Source organism: Homo sapiens, chromosome 17 (assembly GCF_000001405.40).
Source record: "Homo sapiens chromosome 17, GRCh38.p14 Primary Assembly".
Classification (NCBI taxonomy): Eukaryota; Metazoa; Chordata; class Mammalia; order Primates; family Hominidae; genus Homo; species Homo sapiens.
Window position 1 is genome coordinate 35,170,000 of NC_000017.11, and position 20,226 is coordinate 35,190,225.

Genomic DNA, 20,226 nt, shown 5'->3' on the forward strand with positions numbered 1-20,226 from the left:
TGCTCTAGTGGAGTGTGAAAGGGACCTCACCCCTGGTTCACCACCCTGAAATCGCTTCACCCTCTTGACCTAGCCCTGGGCCCCTTCCCATGTGTGCTCCCTCCTCACTTCCAGGTGGCTGTGCAATATGTCCATAGACACTCGGACCCGACGCTGGGCAGTGGAGGGCCTGGCCTACCTCACGCTGGACGCTGATGTGAAGGACGACTTTGTCCAGGACGTCCCTGCCCTGCAGGCCATGTTTGAGCTGGCCAAGGCAGGTGTCGGGGAGTCTGGCCCGACCACAAACCTCAGGAAAGGTCTGCTGGGTCCAGACCCACAGGGAATGGATCCCAGTCTTCCTCCTGGCTCTACTCCTTACCCCTGTATAAACATGATTGGTTATTTCCCCCTTTCTGGCCCTCATTTTACCTGATTGTAAAATGGACTCCCGACTCCCAATGCCTTCCAGAGATGGGAAGATGCACAGGAGGGCAGTTTGTTTTCCTGGGGCCCTCAGGAGGTGAGGTCTTGAAGGACCTGAGGCAGCTAAAAAAAAAAAAAAAAAAAAAAAAAGCAGGGCATCGTAGCACGTGCCTGTAATTCCAGCACTTCAGGAGGCTGAGGCGGGCGGATGGCTTGAGCTCTGGGGTTCAGGACCAGCCTAGGCAACATGGTGAAACCCCAACTCTACAAAAAATACAAAAATTAGCTGGGCGTGGTGGCACATACCTGTAATCCCAGCTACTCGGGAGGCTGAGGTGGGAGGATTGCTTGAGCCTTGGGAGATCGAGGCTGCAGTGAGCTAGAATTCCAGCTCTGCACTCCAGCCTGGGTGACAGAGAGAGACCTTGCCTCAAGAAAATAAATAAATAAAAGAGGCTGTGCCTGGCCTTTCTGGGAACCTGCCCTCCCTCCCAGGCCCCCCCAGACTCCTTTCCTCATCTGCTGGGCCAACTCCCTGGCCCTTTTCTACCAGTAAATGGAGGAAGCATGGGAGAGATTTTCACCAGGACCGGAAAATGTCCAGCTCCCACCCCATCTCCAGTTGGATGGGAAAGTGTTAGACTGGGCTTGTGGAAGAGGCGCAAAGCGAGGATCTTTGTGGGACAGCTCCTATTCATACTGTCAGAGCTACTGTGGAGGGTGCAGGAGACACTGCTGCCTGCCTTTATGGGGAGAACCGTTCCTCTCCTGCGCTGCTGTCTTTCCTCAGAATGGGCCCTACCAGCTGCACTCCTCCGACACCAACCTGCCGGCCACGTGAGGGAGCATCCTGGAAGCAGAGGTTTGTCCTAAAGTTTCCTTTCTGCTTTCCCTCTCCCCAACCCTGTGCCTTCCAGACCAGTGACAAGACCATCCTGTACTCGGTGGCCACCACCCTGGTGAACTGCACCAACAGCTACGATGTCAAGGAGGTCATCCCAGAGCTTGTCCAGCTCGCCAAGTTCTCCAAGCAGCATGTGCCCGAGGAACACCCCAAGGTAGGGTCAGGCGCGACCCGGGAGGGGTCTGGTCTGTGCCACTAGGCCTCCAAAGGAGGCGGAACGGCAAAAGGAGTGGTGTCAGGAGTGGCACGGTGTGTGTTTGGGTGGTTGGGGGTAAGATACACATACATTGAATATGTTAATGGTAAACTTTCCCACCAGATGGTGCTCATGCTTTTTCTTTGTTTTTATTTTCTATTTTGAAAAAAATCCAACAATTTATAGTCTGAGAAAACAAACAGAGCCATGATGGACACTTTGCAATTTGTGTTGTTGATTTTATGGATAAAAGACAGTTTTATTTCATGTCTCCAACAGATAACAATTTGATTTTCTCAGATTTCTGGATTTTGTGACATGGGTGCTAAGTAGGAATCATGAGAGGAGAGGCATGGTCAGCATTAGCCCAGAAGTCACAGATCCCCTGGAACCCTCTCCAACAATTCCCTGCACATGAAGATATGATTTGTGTGTGATTTGTTTAAGAATATATGCAAGATATTGCCAGCCAATAAAATCATTTAGATTTTTTTAATGATCAAAGTAATATAATCATGCTGCAAAACGAGTTAAAATGTGGGGAAAAGAAAATAACCACTCATGATTACGTCATCTCCACATGACTGCTGTTGGCATTTTGATGTTATGTTACCTACCAGAGGCTTTTTTTCTATGTATCTTTTTTCCTTTCACAGTTATAATTAGAATATATTTATCATTTTGTGCCCAATTTTGGAAAAATATGTTTTTCACATTGCCATCTCATTCTCTGAATCATTTTTATTTTATTTATTTATTTTTTGAGACAGAGTCTTGCTCTGTCACCCAGGCTGGAGTGCAGTGGTGAGATCTCGGCTCAATGCAACCTCTGCCTCCCAGGTTCAAGTGATTCTCCTGCCTCAGTCTCTCAAGTAGCTGGAATTCCAGGCATGCACCACCATGCCCGGCTAATTTTGTGTTTTCAGTAGAAACAGGGTTTCACCATATTGGTCAGGCTGGTCTCAAACTCCTGACCTCAAGTGACCCACCCACCTCGGCCTCCTAAAGCGTTGGGAATCCAGGCATGAGCCACCACACCTGGCCTCTGAATCATTTTTGAAAGCTGCATGATGTTTCATCCAGGCAAGGGTGCAGAGCATGTGCTGTGGCTGTGAAGTTCCAGTGTGGCTTCCAGGGCTTGCCCAGGGTTGTCAGCCCCTTCCCCACCACTCCTCACTCTGAGGATTATCTGTAGGGACTCTTTAACCCTGGGTTGACTTTGGGTTTCCAGCAAACCCAATCCATTGTTATGGCGGCTTCATCCACTGTGTCCTTTCCTGCCTATACCCTCTCTCTACCTCCACTCCCACCTCAGCCTTCTCCAAGAAAAACAATATACGCATCATTTAGTCTTTTGGATTATCCGTCTTTTATTTCATTCCTCTGTGAATGAGAGAATCTTTGGGACTGGTTTTCTACGGTATCAGCTCCTCAGGCTCTGTCTTGGGATTAGGTAAGGCAAGGAAGAAGAGAGGAGAGACAATCACACACGACAGCAAGGCGTGCTGTATACCCCTTGGCAGTTGCTTGGGAAGAGGGAATCTGGAGAAGTGTCTTAGTTTCCTATTGTTTCTAGAACACATTGCCACACGCACTGTGGCCTAAAACGCAATTTTTATACTTTTTTTTTTTTTTTTTTTGAGACTGAGTCTCCCTCTGTCGCCCAGGCGGAGTGCAGTGGTGCAATCTTGGCTCACTGCAACCTCCGCCTCTTGGGCTCAAGCAATTCTCCTGCTTCAGCCTCCTGAGTAGCTGGGATTATAGACACGCTCCACCATGCCCAGCTAATTTTTGTATTTTTAGTAGAGACGGGGTTTCGCCATGTTGCCCAGGCTGGTCTCGAACTCCTGGGCTCAAGTGGTCCACCCACCTCAGCCTCCCAAAGTGCTGGAATTACAGGCGGGAGCCACCACGCCTGGCCCGGTTTTAAAAATCTTATAGTTCTGGAGGTCAAGAGTCCTAAAATGAGTCTCACTCGGCTAAAGTCAAGGTGTTAGCAGGGCTGGTTTCTTTGGGAGGCTCTAAGGGAGAATCATTTTGTTGCCTTTTTCAGCTTCTAGAGGCCACCTACATGCTTTGGCTGGTGACCTTGAACCACTCTGACCTCACTTCCATTCCATTGTTACATCTCCTAGTACTAACTCTGATCTTCCTGCCTCCCTCTTATAAAGATCCTGGTGATTATATTGGGCCCACACAGAAATCTAGGCTTACCCCCTCATCTCAAAATCCTTAACTTAATCGTGTCTGCAAAATCCCTTTTGCCATGTAAGGTCCCACGTTCACAGGTTCCAGAGATTAGGCCATGGATTTTTTTTTTTTTTTTTATACAGAGTCTCGCTGTGTCGCCCAGGCTGGAGTGCAGTGGTGCGATCTCGGCTCACTGCAAGCTCTGCCCCCGGGTTCATGCCATTCTCCTGCCTCAGCCTCCTGAGCAGCTGGGACTACAGGTGCCCGCCACCACGCCTGGCTCATTTTTTGTATTTTCAGTAGAGACAGGGTTTTACCGTGTTAGCCAGGATGGTCTTGATCTCCTAACCTCGTGGTCCGCCCGCCTCAGCCTCCCAAAGTGCTGGGATTACAGGCATGAGCCACTGTGCCTGGCCAGGCCATGGACATCTTTGGAGGCCATTATTCAACCAACCCCAAGAATTCAGAAATGCACCATCTTTGGTTCCAATACCGATTGGCCTGGCACCCAGGACCCTCCCACATTGCCATCTTTTCATCTCCTCAGGACAAGAAGGACTTTATAGACATGCGGGTGAAGCGGCTTCTGAAGGCGGGTGTCATCTCTGCCCTGGCTTGCATGGTGAAAGCAGATAGTGCCATCCTCACTGACCAGACCAAGGAGCTGCTGGCCAGGTGGGGCTGCAGTGGGCCAAGGCTTGGAACTAGGGCTGGGGGCCGAGGGTCCTGGAGTGCAGCACACTGGGCAGGGAGATAGAAATGGTGGGGGCCTAAATGAGGAGATAAACTATTGGGAAAGCCTGGAGAAAGGTCTGAGGGGATCAGCTTTGAAAAGTGACATGGGACCAGGGGTGGTGGCTCATGCCTGTAATCCCAGGGCTTTGGGAGGCCCAGGTGGGAGGATTGCTTGAGCCCAGGAATTCAAGACTAGCTTGGGAAACATATTGAGACCCCATCTGTACAAAAAAATTTTAAATTAGCCTGGCACGGTGGTGTGCACCTGTACTGCCAGCTACTTGGGAGGCTGAGGCAGGAGGATCACTTAAGCCCAGGAATTCAGGGCTGCAGTGAATGATGATGGTGCTACTGCACTCCAGCCTGGGTAACAGAGCAAGATCCTGTCTCTATACAAAAGAGAAATAAAGAAAGAGAGAAAGAGAGAGAGAGAGAGAAAGGAAGGGATGGCGGAAGGAAAAAAGGAAGGAGGGAAGGGAAAAGAAGAAGGGAGGAAGGAGAAAGAAAGAAAAAGAAAGAAAGAAAAAGAAAGAGAAAGAAAGAGGAAGAAAGGAGGGAGGGAAGGAAGGAGGGAAGAAAGAAAGGAGGGAAGGAAGGAGAGAGAGGAAAGAAGGAAAGAAAGAAAGGAAAGAAGAAAGAAAGAAAGAAAGAAAGAAAGAGAAAGAAAGAAAAAAGAAAAGAAAGAAAGGGAAAGGAAAGGAAGGAAGGAAGGAGAAGGAAAGAAAGAGGGAAAGAAGGAAAGGAAGGAAGAGAAGTGGTATGTTGGGCAGGTCATCACAGGTGGAAGTTTGTATCAGGAGAAAGGAGGCCACTGTTCCTTCTTGTTACCTTGTTCTCAGAGATTAAAGGCACAGTCTGTGTGCAGCCTGGCCAGGGAGGCAGGCAAGATCACAGCTACAGTCCGATGCAATGGATGCCATGATGTGGGAAGCATAAAGGGCTGATTGGAGCACAAGCAGTGTTCCCCAACCAGCCAGACTGGAGGGGAGGTGGGTGGGCAGCTGGTAAGGCCTCCTGGGGGATGTGACAACTCAAGCTCTGAAGGAAGCAAAGGAGCCACCTAAATGCAGGAGAGGGAAGGTTCCAGGCAGAGAGAATAGCATCTGCAAAGACACTGAGGATGGAGAGAGAATGAGTGAATTTGGGGTTCTCCTGCAATATGTCTGGGGCAGGGAATCCATAGGAAGAGCTGGTGCTGGATGAGACAAAAGAGGAAGCCAGAGCCAGATCACGGAGGACCTGGGGCACATCCATTGAAGTTGAAAAGCTTCTCCTGGGTGGTTGCATCCCTAAATAGTGATAGTGGGGAGTGCTCTTTGCAGCCTCACTTGGCCTCACTTCCTTCCCAGCCAATTATTCCCATGATGTCATCTTCCCAAAGTGGTTAATTCTGGGGCACAGGCACACAAGTGGCACTTTCCATAGTCTCCCTTTTCATCCCAGGGTTTCACTGGCTCCGACTGGCTGGCCTGCTGCTGCTGCTGCCTGGGAAGGTGTGCTGGTGTATTAACTGTTCTCCTTTCTTCTCGGTCCCACAGGGTATTCCTGGCACTGTGTGACAACCCAAAGGACCGAGGCACCATTGTGGCTCAAGGTGGTGGCAAGGTAACTGGGCAGGTGCCTTCCTAGAAGGTGCCTTTGTGCATGCTCTTTGCCTAGCGCAAGAATTATGTACCCTCTGCCCCAACTCGACCTCCTGGAATACGGCCACCAGTTATCTGCGCTGTCTGTGCTCATAGCCCCAAGCCAATTTCTGCTTGACTTTATGCTATGATGGTATGTACTTTGGAATCCCATCTATCCTCCTTGCTGTTGGAAGGAAGCACCGTGCAAAGACAGACCCTGGACTTTGATGTAGAAGACTTGTAGTTGAGTTCTTGCTCTTCCCATTTCTGACTGCATAACCTCAGGCAAAATACTTAATCTCCCAGCCACAGCTTCTTCATCTGTAAAATAGGGGGAAAATCACACTTTCAATTTGCAGACTGTCACAAGAATTAGAGAAAATATAGAAAGTATTGATTCATGGTAGGTGCTCAATAGATGTCTGATGTTAAGATTGGGTTTGGCTGCAACTCCGTCTCTATTAAAAATACAAAAATTAGCTGGGCCTGGTGGCGTGCACCTGTAATCTCAGCTACTCAGGAACCTGAGGCAGGAGACTTGCTTGAACCCAGGAGGAGGAGGTTGCAATGAGCCGAGATCATGCCATTGCAGTCCAGCCTGGGCAGCAAGAGCGAAACTCTGTCTCAAAAAAACAAAACAAAACAAACAAACAAAAGGATTGAGTTTGGCTTGGGCAGAAAGTAAAAAATTTGTTGATTGAATTATTTATTTTTCCAAAAGCTGAAGGAATATTTAGGTGGGTGGGAGGAAGTGGGGTAAAGACCTGAATGTGCACTGGGAATCAAGAGGAGTGAATATGTGATTAAGGATTTAATTGTTTTCCATGATGTGCAAGGGCTGATTATACGGCAGAATTTTCCTGGACCTCCCATGGGACAGACAGACAGCACCTGGAGCAGGAGGATAGGCGAGAAGCCTCTGGATGTCTGTGACTAAGTAGTGACCTTGCCCTTTCTTGCAGGCCCTGATTCCCCTGGCTTTGGAGGGCACAGATGTGGGCAAGGTGAAGGCAGCCCACGCTCTAGCAAAGATCGCTGCTGTCTCCAATCCGGACATTGCTTTTCCTGGGGAGCGGGTAGGTGCTTGGGTAGATGGGATAGGGCAATGGGAGGGGTCTCCTTTGCTCCTAGAGGCCTTTCCCCTTGTCATTCTACCTCGAGCCTGGGACAGGGGCATGGTGCTGTCACACGGAGGGTGATGCATGGAGGCACCTGGATTCCAGGCCTGGTTCTGCCTCTGACAAACCGGATTGCCCTCTCCAAAATTCAGTTATCCTATCTATAAAGAAAATAATCCTGCCTGTCAGGATCATTGTGAGGATGAAATCAGACAATGTATGAGAAAGTGCTTTGGAAACTTTACAGCTGGTCACCTATAAATGTGAGGCACTCAGGGAACAAAGTCCTCACCTGACCAAACCCTTGACCCCTCCCCAACAGGTGTATGAGGTGGTGCGGCCCCTTGTAAGACTCTTGGACACACAGAGGGATGGGCTTCAGAACTATGAGGCTCTCCTAGGCCTCACCAACCTGTCTGGGCGGAGTGACAAACTCCGGTGAGTGTGGTGAGTGTGGCAGGGGTGGAGAGAGGTGGCTCAAAAAGTGTTTGTTTGAAATTTCACATAATGTGCTGAGAATGCTCTTCTCTGAAGACAACACAAAGGCAAGGGGTGGGATTTGAGTTAGCACAAATCCACAAACCACACAGTGACTATACCAAAGCCAAAAAATGCTACAAGGCCCTTCTTTTTCTTTTCTTTTTTTTCTTTCCTTTTCTTTTCTTTTGTCTTTTCTTTTCTCTTCTCTTCTCTTTTCTTTCTTTTCTTTTCTTTTTTTCTTTCTTTTCTCTTTTCTTTTCTTATCAAGACCGAGTCTTGCTCTGTCGCCCAGGCTGGAGTACAGTGGCACTATCTCAGCTCACTGCACCCTCTGCCTCCAGGGCTGAAGCTATTTTCCAGCCTCAGCCTCTCGAGTAGCTGGGACTACAGGAGTACGCCACCATACCCAGCTAATTTTTGTATTTTTAGTAGAGACAGGGTTTCCCCATGTTGGCCAAGCTGGTCTCAAACTCGTGACCTCAGGTGATCTGCCCGCCTTGGTCTCCCAAAGTGCTTGGATTACAGGTGTGAGCCACCGCACCCAGCCAGCACTTCTTTCTACAGTAGTAATGATCACCATTCTAACTGGCGTGAGATGGTGTCTCATTGTGGTTTTGATTTGCATTTCTCTGATAACCAGTGATGATGAGCATTTTTTCATGTGTCTGTTGGCTGCATAAATGTCTTCTTTTGAGAAGTGTCTGTTCATATCCTTTGCCCACTTTTTGATGCGGTTGTTTTTTTCTTGTAAATTTGTTTAAGTTCTTTGTAGATTCTGGATATTAGCCCTTTTTCAGATGGGTAGATTGCAAAAATTTTCTCCCATTCTGTAGGTTGCCTGTTCATTCTGATGATAGTTTCTTTTGCTGTGCAGAAGCTCTTTAGTTTAATTAGATCCCATTTGTCAATTTTGGCTTTTGTTGCCATTGCTTTTGGTGTTTTAGTCATGAAGTCTTTGCCCATGCCTATGTCCTGAATGGTATTGCCTAGGTTTTCTTCTAGGGTTTTTATGGTTTTAGATCTTACATTTAAGTCTTTAATCCATCTTGAGTTAATTTTTGTATAAGGTGTAAGGAAGGGATCCAGTTTCAGCTTTCTACATATGGCTAGCTAGTTTTCCCAGCACTATTTATTAAATAGGGAATCCTTTCATCATTTCTTGTTTTTGTCAGGTTTGTCAAAGATCAGATGGTTGTAGATGTGTGGTGTTATTTCTGAGGCCTCTGTTCTGTTCCATTGGTCTATATATCTGTTTTGGTACCAGTACCATGCTGTTTTGGTTACTGTAGCCTTGTAGTATAGTTTGAAGTCAGGTAGCGTGATACCTGACCCTGATGATGCCTCCAGCTTTGTTCTTTTTGCTTAGGGTTGTCTTGGCTATGCCTGCTCTTTCTTGGTTCCATATGAACTTTAAAGTAGTTTTTTCCAATTCTGTGAAGAAAGTCATTGGTAGCTTCATGGGAATGGCATTGAATCCATAAACTATCTTGGGCAGTATGGCCATTTTCATGATATTGATTCTTCCAATCCATGAGCATGGAATGTTCTTCCATTTGTTTGTGTCCTCTTTTATTTTGTTGAGCAGTGGTTTGTAGTTCTCCTTGAAGAGGTCCTTCACATCCCTTGTAAATTGGATTCCTAGGTATTTTATTCTGTTGGTAGCAGTTGTGAATGGGAGTTCACTCATGATTTGGCTCTCAAGGATCTAGAACTAGAAATAACATTTGACCCAGCAATCCCATTGCTGGGTATATACCCAAAGGACTATAAATCATGCTACTATAAAGACACATGCACACGTATGTTTATTGTGGCACTATTCACAATAGCAAAGACTTGGAACCAACCCAAATGTCCATCAATGATAGATTGGATTAAGAAAATGTGACACATATGCACCATGGAATACTATGCAGCCATAAAAAAGGATGAGTTCATGTCCTTTGCAGGGACATAGATGAAACTGGAAACCATCATTCTGAGCAAACTACCACAAGGACAGAAAACCAAACACCGCATGTTCTCACTCGTAGGTGGGAGTTGAACAATGAGAACACATGGACACAGGGCGGGGAACATCACACACCGGGGCCTGTTGGGGGTGGGGAGCTGGGGGAGGGATAACATTAGGAGAAATACCCTAATGTAAATGACGAGTTGATGGGCGCAGCAAGCCAACATGGCACGCACATGTATACCTATGTAACAAACCTGCACGTTGTGCACATGTACCCTAGAACTTAAAGTATTAAAAAAAAAAAGATATCCAGGTGGATAGTGGGATAAAATGTATTCCTCTTTGGAAGCAGGAGTATGTCAGCATGTACTGGGTTGGGATTCTTTTGGTTGCCAGTAGCAGAAAACTTAACTATAATAGGCCTAAGCATAAAGGAAATTTATTGGCTCATGTAGATAAAAAGTCTGGGGTAACAAGATTCAGGTGTGGCTTGATGCAGGGCTTACAAAGCTGCCTTAGGTTCCTGTTCTCTCTGTCTCTCCTCTCCTTTCTGTATTGCTTTAATTCTCAATGGGCTTTTCTGCTCTCTCATGGTTATAAGGGCAGTTCTGGCCTTCACATCTTCTTGGATCTACATCCAGGATGAGAGAGAGAGAGAGAGAGAGAGAGAGAGAGAGAGAATTTCTTTACTGCAATAATACAGAGGCTCTCCAGTTGGGTGATATCCAGAACCCACTGCTGTGGCCAGGATGCCATGCTATACAATTTAGTTGAGGCCCATGGTGCCCCTCCTAGAGCTGGGGGCAGTGTGATGCCACATAAACCATGCTGGCTGAGGATGTGGGAAGGACAGCACCAGAATGGAAGAATGGTCCCTGGGTGGCCAGAAAACCCCTATGGTCACGGCAGAAGACTCAAGGGTCTTTCTTCCTCCACCCTCCTACCCTAGGCAGAAGATCTTTAAGGAGAGGGCCTTGCCAGACATCGAGAACTACATGTTTGAGAATCATGATCAGCTGCGGCAGGCGGCCACCGAGTGCATGTGCAACATGGTGCTCCACAAGGAGGTGAGGCAGGGGCTCAGGATGGAGACCCGGGCGTGATCAAGGCACGAGAGGCAGGCCAGGGTCAGGGCCTGGGGTGAGATCGGGAGCTCTTATGATGGCATTAAGGTAGCATTTTGGGCAGAAAATCCAGGAATCCCTAAATATTTCCTAGATTATAGCCCCCCTCCCTGTAGGGGCCCTGAGAGAAAGATATGCATAAAGGAAAAAATACAAAGCTGGGGCTTTCAATCCAGACCCTGGGCTAGATGAGGTGGAAGGCACCATTTCCCTAAGTTACTTAGGCCCAAATAACCTTAAAACAAAGCAGGATATGAGACCAGGGCCTCTCAGAGGTCAAGGAAGGCTAGACCACTTGCATTTATTGAAGCTCCACATATATAAAAAAAATGAAGAAATGCCAAATACAGTTATCAGCCATTTTAGGATGTCTCAAATGTCAGCATTTAATGAACTACCACTGTTCCCATAGAAATTGCAATGCAATATAACTGTACTCAGCACAGAATAATTACAGGGTTTATAAAAATAAAATGAATTCAGAACATGCCGTAGGCTTCATGGTCCAGTCATGGGACAAATGATACCCATCTGGTGAATGTCTTCTTCTCCCCATCCTGTCAGAGTACTGCTGTGACTGTATGTGTAATCTTATCAGAGATAACAGCAGGGTCTAAGTTTGAGGCCCTTCATTAACATGAGGGCCAAGCCGAATGTCCCTCCTGGGCCCTCACATAGGGGCTAGCGTGAGACCCAGTCTGTTTACCCTCAACACCTGAACCTTAGACCTTCTCACTGTTATAGGGGAAAACCTAACCCATTAAAGCCGATTAAAGGCCAGGTATGGTGGCTCATGTCTGCAATCCCAACATTTTGGGAGGCTGAGGTGGATGCGTCACTTGAAGTCAGGAATTCGAGACCAGCCTGGCCAACATGGCAAAACCCTGTCTCTACTAAAAGTACAAACATTAGCCAGGCATGGTGGTGGGTGCTTGTAATCCCAGCTACTCGGGAGCCTGAGACATGAGAATCACTTGAACTTGGGAGGCAGAGGTTACAGTGAGCCGAGATCATGCCACTGCACTCCAGCCTGGGTGACAAAGCAAGACTGCATCTCAAAAAAAAAAAAAAAAAAGCATATTAAAGTCAGGGGGAATGAAGCTACCAGGGTCTACCAGGGAACTGGCCTAAGGCTGGGCTGGGGGCCTGGCAGCCATAGGGGAGACAGAGAGTGTGTCCAAGGAGATGGGCGGGGAGGCTGAGAGGTTGAGAGAGGTAATGGGAGGAGGGAGGCAACCTTTCCTATGGGAGCACCGGCTGCTGCAACAACCCAAGTCAAAATGTTCAGTGGTCCCAATAGGATAGAAGTTCATTTCTTGCTCACCATGTCAAAGTCCTATTTGGATTGGGTGGCTCACTTTTTTTTTTTTTTCTGAGATGGAGTCTGGCTCTGTCACCCAGGGTAGAGTGCAGTGGTGTGATCTTAGCTCACTGCAACCTCCGCCTCCTGGGTTCAAGCAATTGTCCTGCCTCAGCCTCCCGAGTAACTGGGACTACAGGCGCGTGCCACCACCCCTGGCTAATCTTTTGTATTTTTAGTAGAGACGGGGTTTCACCATGTTAGCTAGGATGGTCTTGATCTCCTGACCTCGTGGTCTGCCTGCCTTGGCCTCCCAAAGTGCTGGGATTACAGGCGTGAGCCACCGCGCCCGGCCGGGTGGCTCACTTTCAAGCTGACTCAGGGATCCAGGCTTCTTTGATCATCAAGAACTGTCTTCTCCTCTGCCACACTGGGAGTGGATTCCATTCTGATGGTGAATGGGGAGACAGACTGAGGGAGAGGTGCCTGAAAGTGACACATCACTTCCACTCATGTTCCATCTATGAGAACTAGGCCACCACCACATCGAGATGTGAGAAATGGGGGAATGTAGTCCATGTAAGGGCAGCTGTGTCCCATGAGAGGGGGCCATGCTGACCCCTCTGATATATGGTGACCTCTGCCATGCTCTCACCTCCCATGACCACTGCTCCAGCTTCAGGGAGATGCAGGTAGAGGGTCACATCTGGGAAGCTGTGATCTTGGTCCCCTTTTGGAGTTCCACTTCTAGGAAACCTGGCCCAGTAGAATGCGCTGAGACTTGACCACCTAGATTTTACAGTAGTGCAGAGGGGTGAGGATGAGATGCTGTGAGGGGTTAATACCTCTCTGAGACATATCAGGGCACTGGTCCCCTGGAAGCTCTTCTCCTGGTTTTCAGATCGTTGGGAAGCCTCATCTCTCACCTGGTGGAGACGGCACTGTAGCTTTCTAATACCAAGCAAACCACATAATTGTTCCCTGCTTCTGCCCCAGTCCCTGCAAAATCATTTTATGGAAGACCCTGAAGGCCCATCCATTATGGGAGAAACCTTCCAATGTTCCCCAAAGGGATGGGAAATACAGTTCCTCAGGCATCATCTACCCTGCAGGAGTCTGTGCCTGCCTCCTTCCCCTGGTGTGGAGGCTGAATGCAAACAGAGGTGGTGAAGCACACTAGATGGGGAATTCCTTATTTTCTTTACTTGGAAGAATTTGTAGCCCCTTCATTCAACCAGTCAGGGAAGGCTTCTTGGGGGAGGTAGCATGAGTGACCTGCTCAAAGGGAAACTCTAAGAGATCTTGGGTCAGAGAACTTCAGATGTATCTTTCCCTCTTCAGGCTGGGCAGATTGGGGACAGTTTTCTCTGAGCCATGTTCCTGCCTCCCACAGGTACAGGAAAGGTTCTTGGCTGACGGGAATGACCGGCTGAAGCTGGTGGTGCTGCTCTGCGGGGAGGATGATGATAAGGTGCAGAATGCGGCTGCAGGGGCTCTGGCCATGCTGACAGCAGCACACAAGAAACTGTGCCTCAAGATGACTCAAGTGGTAAGAGCTGGCCCTGGGGATAGGACGGGCTGGGTGGCTCCAGGGAATCTCCCCACCCACAGACCACACTGGATGATCCTCTGGGGAGGCCAACTCCTAAAGAAACCCCTCGCAGCCCCCAGGCTTCTGTTCCTACTGCCTAAGGAGAGGAGGGTTTATTCACTTCAGTGCCTTACATTCATTATTTGGTCTTCCCAAGTGTGCTAGCTCAAACCCTCCCACTGGAGTTTCACCCATTACCTTTAGTGGTGCATATACCTCATTGCTTAAGAACAATAGCAATGCTAACCACTGCCATGGAGCTCCAGAGCTTCCCAAGAGAAGCACGGATGTGGTTGGGATGCCATAAGGAGCTTATGGTTTGGCAAAAAAGCTGCAGATTCTCTTAAGTGGGCACAATGACCAGCTCCTATGAGACTGTGGCCATTGCAGCAGGTGTAATGGAAATGATATCTGTATAGTCACAAACGTGGGAGTGCACAATGAAACTTTCCTTATTTCACCAAACTGAAGAGTTTGTGGGCACTCATCTCTCCCCATGGTGAAAAATGTGGACATCTCAATTCAAAGGTGTTCATGTCTGTTTTAAAGGCAGGCTCTTCTAGATAGTCAGTGTAAGGTATGTGTGTATCAGCGGGTGTGTTCTCTAAGTTCCAAGGGGGGTTACGTTGTCCTGGCATCTGGCAAGGGTGTATCTGCTGAATGTAGCTCATCCTGCATGGTCTTTGGACTTCAGCTTCTTTCTCTAAGGCAAGCTTCTCAAAACTGTAATGTGTGTAAGAATCACCTGGGCAACTTGTTAGAACAGTTTCCCAACGTGTTCTGATTTAGTAGATTGGGGGTGGGAGGCTAACAGCTTGGAGACCACACTTTGAAACCGCTGCCCTAGAGCAGCCTCTGCTGGTGTCACTGGTCACATAACTCTTGTTGCAGGTCCTCACAGGACCCTCTGTGACTCCTTGCACTTACTGAGTGCCAGGTGTTGCCCTAAGTGTTTACATTTATTAAGTCATTTAATTCTCCCAACCACCGTGTGAGGTGGATATTATTATTGTCATCATCCCTATTTTACAAATGAGGAAACTGAGGTGCAGAAAAGCAACTAGCCCAAGGCCACGCAGGCTGTTAGTTGGGAAGGGATTGGGACCCTTCAGGATTGCCAACCCACTCCTGGCCACTTTGTCGGTCTTCCTTGCGGGGCTCAGACATCTTGGCTGCATTTTTGTTCTGACATGGGGCTTCCTGGGGACTCTGTGAAGCTGCTCAGACTCATCTTTTGTGCCACCCCATGGCCATGTTGGATGCTGGACATCTCTACAGTCTCATGTCATCTGGGCTATGCCCTGGGCTATGCTTCCTGCTCTGGAATCCTATCCTTGTTGAGTTTCTATCACTGCTTCCTTTGACCTTCGGTGACTCATCCCAGGGAGCGATGGGCCCTGGACCCATTATCAGTTACACTTCAGCGTAGAAACTTTCCAGCATAGAACCGTGCCACAGCTAGCTGAGCTTTCATGTTCTTTCCTTGGGATAGGACATTCAGTGCAGTTTACAAAAGTTGGGTTAGATGCTCAAAAGCCAAGAATTTGCCTTTTCTTCCCCCCGTGTCTGTCTACCCATGTGCTTGTGGAAAGTGAGCCCTGCTGACAAATGCCAGGTGAGGGTAACAGGTACAAAGAAGCCCAAGGGAAAACCTTTGCATTGGTGTTTTTTTTTAATTTATTTTTATTTTTATTTTTTTTTGAGACACAGTCTTGCTCTTTTGCCCAGGCTGGAGTGCAGTGGTACAATCTTGGCTCACTGCAACTTCCACCTCCTGGGTTCAAGCGATTCTCCTGCCTCAGCCTTCCTAGTGGCTGGGATTACAGGCGTGCACCACCATGCCTGGCTAATTTTTGTATTTTTAGTAGAGAGGGGGTTTCCCCATGTTGGCCAGGCTGGTCTCAAACTCCTGACCTCATGCTCCGCCTGCCTCGGCCTCCCAAAGTGCTGGGATTACAGGCATGAGCCACCGCACCTGGCCTGGGTTGGTGTCTTAAATCATCACGTACTTGCCCTGCATCCACTTCTACTTGTTGAGCACTTACTGTGCTCCAGCCTCCATACTAAGCTCTTTCCATGTATCATCTCATTAAATCACCACAATGTTAGAGGAAGGTATAGAAGATGACCCTGAGGCTTACAGAGGTTAAATAACTTAGCTGAGGCCATATGGTTGGTAGCGTGACCATAACTAAGTTATGCTGATTCCTTTAGTCCTTTTGTTTTTGTTCATTTTCTGTTGCTATAACAGAATACCTCAGACTAGGTAAAAGAAAAGAGCTTCATTTTGGTTCACAGCTCAGGAGGGTGGGAAGTCCAAGATGAGACAGTGTCATCTGATTTGCTTTTGGTGAAGGTCTTGTGCTGTGTCATAGCATGATTTAGAAGCAGAAGGGGAAGTGTGTGTGTGTGAAAAGGATAAAACACAAGAGGTGGCAATTGGGGCCGTGAGTGGCTCTCATGATTACTAGTCTAGTCCCTTGAGAGCAAGAACTCACTGCTGCAAGAATTAACACATTCCTGTGACAGCAACATTAATTCCTCTTAATGACCTAATTACCTCTTAAAGGACCCACCTCCTAACATTGCCACACCAGGGACCACATTTCCAACACATGAACTCTGGGGACACACTCAAACCTAGCACCTTCCTTACCTTTTTCCCTGCCTCCAGACAACCCAGTGGTTGGAGATCCTCCAGCGGCTTTGCCTGCACGACCAGCTGTCTGTCCAACACCGGGGCCTGGTCATTGCCTACAACCTACTGGCAGCCGATGCTGAGCTGGCCAAGAAGCTGGTGGAGAGTGAGCTGCTGGAGATCCTGACTGTGGTGGGCAAACAGGAGCCAGATGAGAAGAAGGCAGAAGTGGTTCAGACAGCCCGAGAATGTCTCATCAAGTGCATGGATTATGGTTTCATTAAACCAGTGTCTTAGACAGCGACCCTCAGGGATGCTGGGAGTGGTCCTGTACTGTGCAGAGTCCTGGGTTGGTTGGGTTCTCCTGAAGAGTCAGGTCATCTAGGGATCATAGCAGTGACAATGAAGTCTCAATATAAAGGAAAGACTTGATTGTTCTCTGAGTTGTGAGTCTTCTCCTTTGTCCTGACAGAGTTTGGATGTTTCACTCTCTCTCTTGCTTCCTGTCTCCTTATATTTGTCATGTTTCAGAAATTCCCAGAATAATTTTCACCCATGATTAGAAATAGGTTGGATCATTCTTTCTGTACCCATTCTGAAGGCCAGGATAATAGGTTGAAGTTCTTTATATTTTGGAAAATGGATTTTGTGGTAAGGTAGGAACTAACGGGTGTGTGCATATAAAGGTTAATGCTGTTGTATTTGGATGCTGATCTGTGCTGTTTTCATGACCTCTCTCCCACACTATTTGAATCAGTCTGTTCAGAACTGTGTGTTTCACCTGCAGTGCTCTGTCCCAGTCCCATGCCCATTCCCATCACTTCACTGTGATGGAAATAGAGTTTATGTTCAACAGTGGGGCATGACCTCTGCAATTTGCTTGGGAAAGTCTTCCAAGCAAGATGGACATGATGAATACAAATAAGATCTACTCAAAGTACTTCAAACAAAAAATAAATAATTCATTGGCTCATGTATCTTGGCCACCCAGGGAAGGTCTGACATTGTTAGTTAGATCCAGAGTTTCAAATGTCATCACCATGGATGTGTCTTTTTCTCTCTCTCATTTCCCCTCCCCATATCTTGTCTTTTATTTATTATAGGTTTGTCTCATTCCCTGGCAGGCTCTCTCCCTGTGATAGGAAAGAGAGTCCCCAGCAGCCCCAGGGTGACATAGTTGTTATAGTTCATTATGGAATAGAAGAGAGAAGAGCATTCTCAATAACCCGGCAAAGTTCCCAGGGATGACTCTGATATGTCTATGTCTCAGGTCACATTTCCATCTATGAACCAATCATATTCAGAGGTGGAATGCTAATTGGCCAGGCCTGGGTCATATATACAAGTCTAGGGAAGAAATGAGCTTCATCCCTGTCCAATTGACATGGACTGATTAGGGGTATTAATGGAAGAGGTGTGCCACCACAAAAGAATGTACCCTGGGCAGATCAAAGAACATATTCTGTATGTCAGGCTTGGCCACAAAAGAATGACACAAGTAATATGCTGTAGATCAGAACCTCTCTGCTAATATTGCCTTTTTAGCATGGTTAAGATAGCTAAGATCTAGTACTGTCACTCCAGTATGTCCCAATTCTACCTACGTTTATTGAAGGGTCAACAGTTCTGATCTCAGCATTGGGTAAAGGGTGGGACATTCAGATTTACGGTCCTTGATAAAAACAATTTACAACGTTCCGTTGTGTAATAAATGTAAGTGTACATATGCCTGGGACATCAGCTGGAAAAGGGACAGACTATCAGAGAGTTGCACTGTTGCGGTATGGGCCAAATCCAACATAATACCCGCTGTACCTCTAGAGAACTAAAACCTTAATTTCTCAGATCTTTTCTGCACTAATGGTCTTTACATACAGCCTACATTTTAACTAACTCTTGCATGGGCTTGTTTCACAGCAGGAAACTATATTCATCATATCCTTATTATGATAGAGAATGACAACATTCAAAAGGGTGTGGTGCTTCTGAAAATATACACAATAAATGGCATGATTTGACCTCTGTCAAATTCTTCTTTCCTGCTTTCCTCATATGTGGGCTTGAGTGGGTGTATTTAGCTCCTTTAAAGGAAACTCTTTCACAGGCAGGGCCACACTCTTACTCGTTTTGATCTCATGAGGTTACATCTGCCAGTGGCGTTCAGGGCCAGTTAGATAAAGTTCATCTTGTTTGGATTGGAGAGACTTTTTTTTTTTTTTTTTTTGAGACAGGGTCTTGCTCTGTAACCTAGGCTCAAGTGCAGTGCAGTGGTGCAGTCATGGCTCACCGCAGCCTTGGTCTCCTGGGCTCAAGTGATCTTTCTACTTCAGCCTCCTCAATAGCTGGGACTACAGGCACACACCACCACCCCCAGGTAATTAAAAAATTTTTTTTTGTAGAGACAGGGTCTCACTATGTTGCCCAGTCTGGGAGACCACATTCTTTAACATGAATATTTTGTAAATAGTCCAAGAAGATCTAGAGGAAAGCTGAATTCCTTCATCTGATTTTTGCCACTGGGCTGCCTCCCATTGTCTGGCTAAGTCTTCATGGGAGGCCTTTAAGAAAAGCTGTGACAAATACCTTTGTTTCCCACTGCCTAGGTTACATAAGTAGTTGGCTTTTCCAGCCTAGACTCTTATATTGTTGCTTGTAAGAGGGCCCTTCTTTGCAGATTTCTTTTTTTTTTCATCTATGCTTTCAAATAGGCAGATGCTAGCCTGAGATCATCTCTTTATTGAGGTAGTTTGCCCAAAAACAGCAAGGAACAGCCAATACCTGCCAACTTTCTAGGTTTTTCCAACCAATTCTCTTACAGAAAATCTATAAATATCTTAGAGGTATGTTTCTTAGTTTCCCAACATATAATGGGAAAATTCATCATTTATATTATTACTTTTAACTGAAGTATGTTGTTATCAGAGAACTTGGTCTGTGTCATATTAATCCTTTGCCATTTGAGAAGCATACAGTTTTAAAGTTTATATCTCCAAAAGGATATTTTGTAAAAATTTAACCCCTTTGACTCTTAGTCTTCTCATTTGTGAAAGGTAAATAATAAAGAATTTCTGTTCCTAGTAAGAGTAACTTGTGGCAAAACAATACCATGACATACAAAAATTGAAAAACTGGGCAAAACTTAAACAATCTGTTTAAGGCACCGAGAGCCATTAAGGCAGTGAGACCAACAAAAAGGGAAGCACCAAGGAGGAAGCTTAACTTTTTGGTAAAGTTGATTCCATTTGGGATGTTTGCCAATTTGTTAGCAGAGGTTGTGAGTCACAGAGGTTTAAGTGTCTGAGACACCATTTACTAAACTGTTAAAAGAAGAAATAGAAAATTTGAATAGTATGATACCTATTGGAGAAATTACGTTTGTAATAACAACAACGATGGTAAGGAAAGCCTTCCCACAAAGAAAACTCAGGCCCATTTAGTTTCACTGGTGAATTCTACAGGCATTTAAGAAAGAAACAATGCCATTCTTTTGTTTTCTTTTGTTTTTCGAGACAGGGTCTCACTCTGTCACCCAGGCTGGAGTGCAGTGGCGTGATCACGGCTCACTGCAGCTTCAACCTCCTGGGCTCAAGCGATCCTCCCACTCAGTCTCCTGAGTAGCTGATATTCACTGTTAGTCCTCCAACTTAATGTTTTTTTCTTTTCCTTTTTAAAAACTTTTTTTTTATATAGAAATGGAGATTCACTATGATATTATAGGTGCATCAAGTATTTTTATTTTTTATTTTTTGTAAAGACCAGGCTGGTCTTGAACTCCTGGGCTCAAATAATCCTCTCACCTCAGCCTCGCAAAGCGTTGGGATTACAGGTGTGTGCCACCGCGTCTGGCCAAAACAGTACCAGTCTTATGCAAACCCTTCCAAAGAAGATAAAAGAAAGGACACTTTCAGCTCTTTTTATGAGGATAGCTTGATAGCAAAACTTAACAAAGACATATAGGAAAAT

The 20,226-nt window shown here is 46.6% G+C and overlaps 1 protein-coding gene across 5 annotated transcripts in view; it reads left to right on the forward strand.

The window, feature by feature from the left end:
- The window catches only part of UNC45B (unc-45 myosin chaperone B), a 41,529-nt gene extending 22,183 nt beyond the window's left edge, over positions 1-19,346 (forward strand). For 2 of the 5 annotated variants that reach the window (NM_001033576.2, NM_001267052.2), the window contains exons 12-20: positions 115-256; positions 1,323-1,463; positions 4,243-4,370; positions 5,969-6,035; positions 7,018-7,131; positions 7,496-7,611; positions 10,560-10,677; positions 13,428-13,583; positions 16,300-19,344. In NM_001033576.2, the coding sequence (NP_001028748.1) occupies positions 115-256; positions 1,323-1,463; positions 4,243-4,370; positions 5,969-6,035; positions 7,018-7,131; positions 7,496-7,611; positions 10,560-10,677; positions 13,428-13,583; positions 16,300-16,560 (1,243 nt within the window). In that variant the 3' untranslated portion in view covers positions 16,561-19,344. Of the gene's footprint in view, positions 1-114; positions 263-1,322; positions 1,464-4,242; positions 4,371-5,968; positions 6,036-7,017; positions 7,132-7,495; positions 7,612-10,559; positions 10,678-13,427; positions 13,584-16,299 lie in introns of all 5 variants that reach the window. The other 3 variants (XM_017024234.2, NM_001308281.1, NM_173167.3) reach the window with 2 other exon arrangements.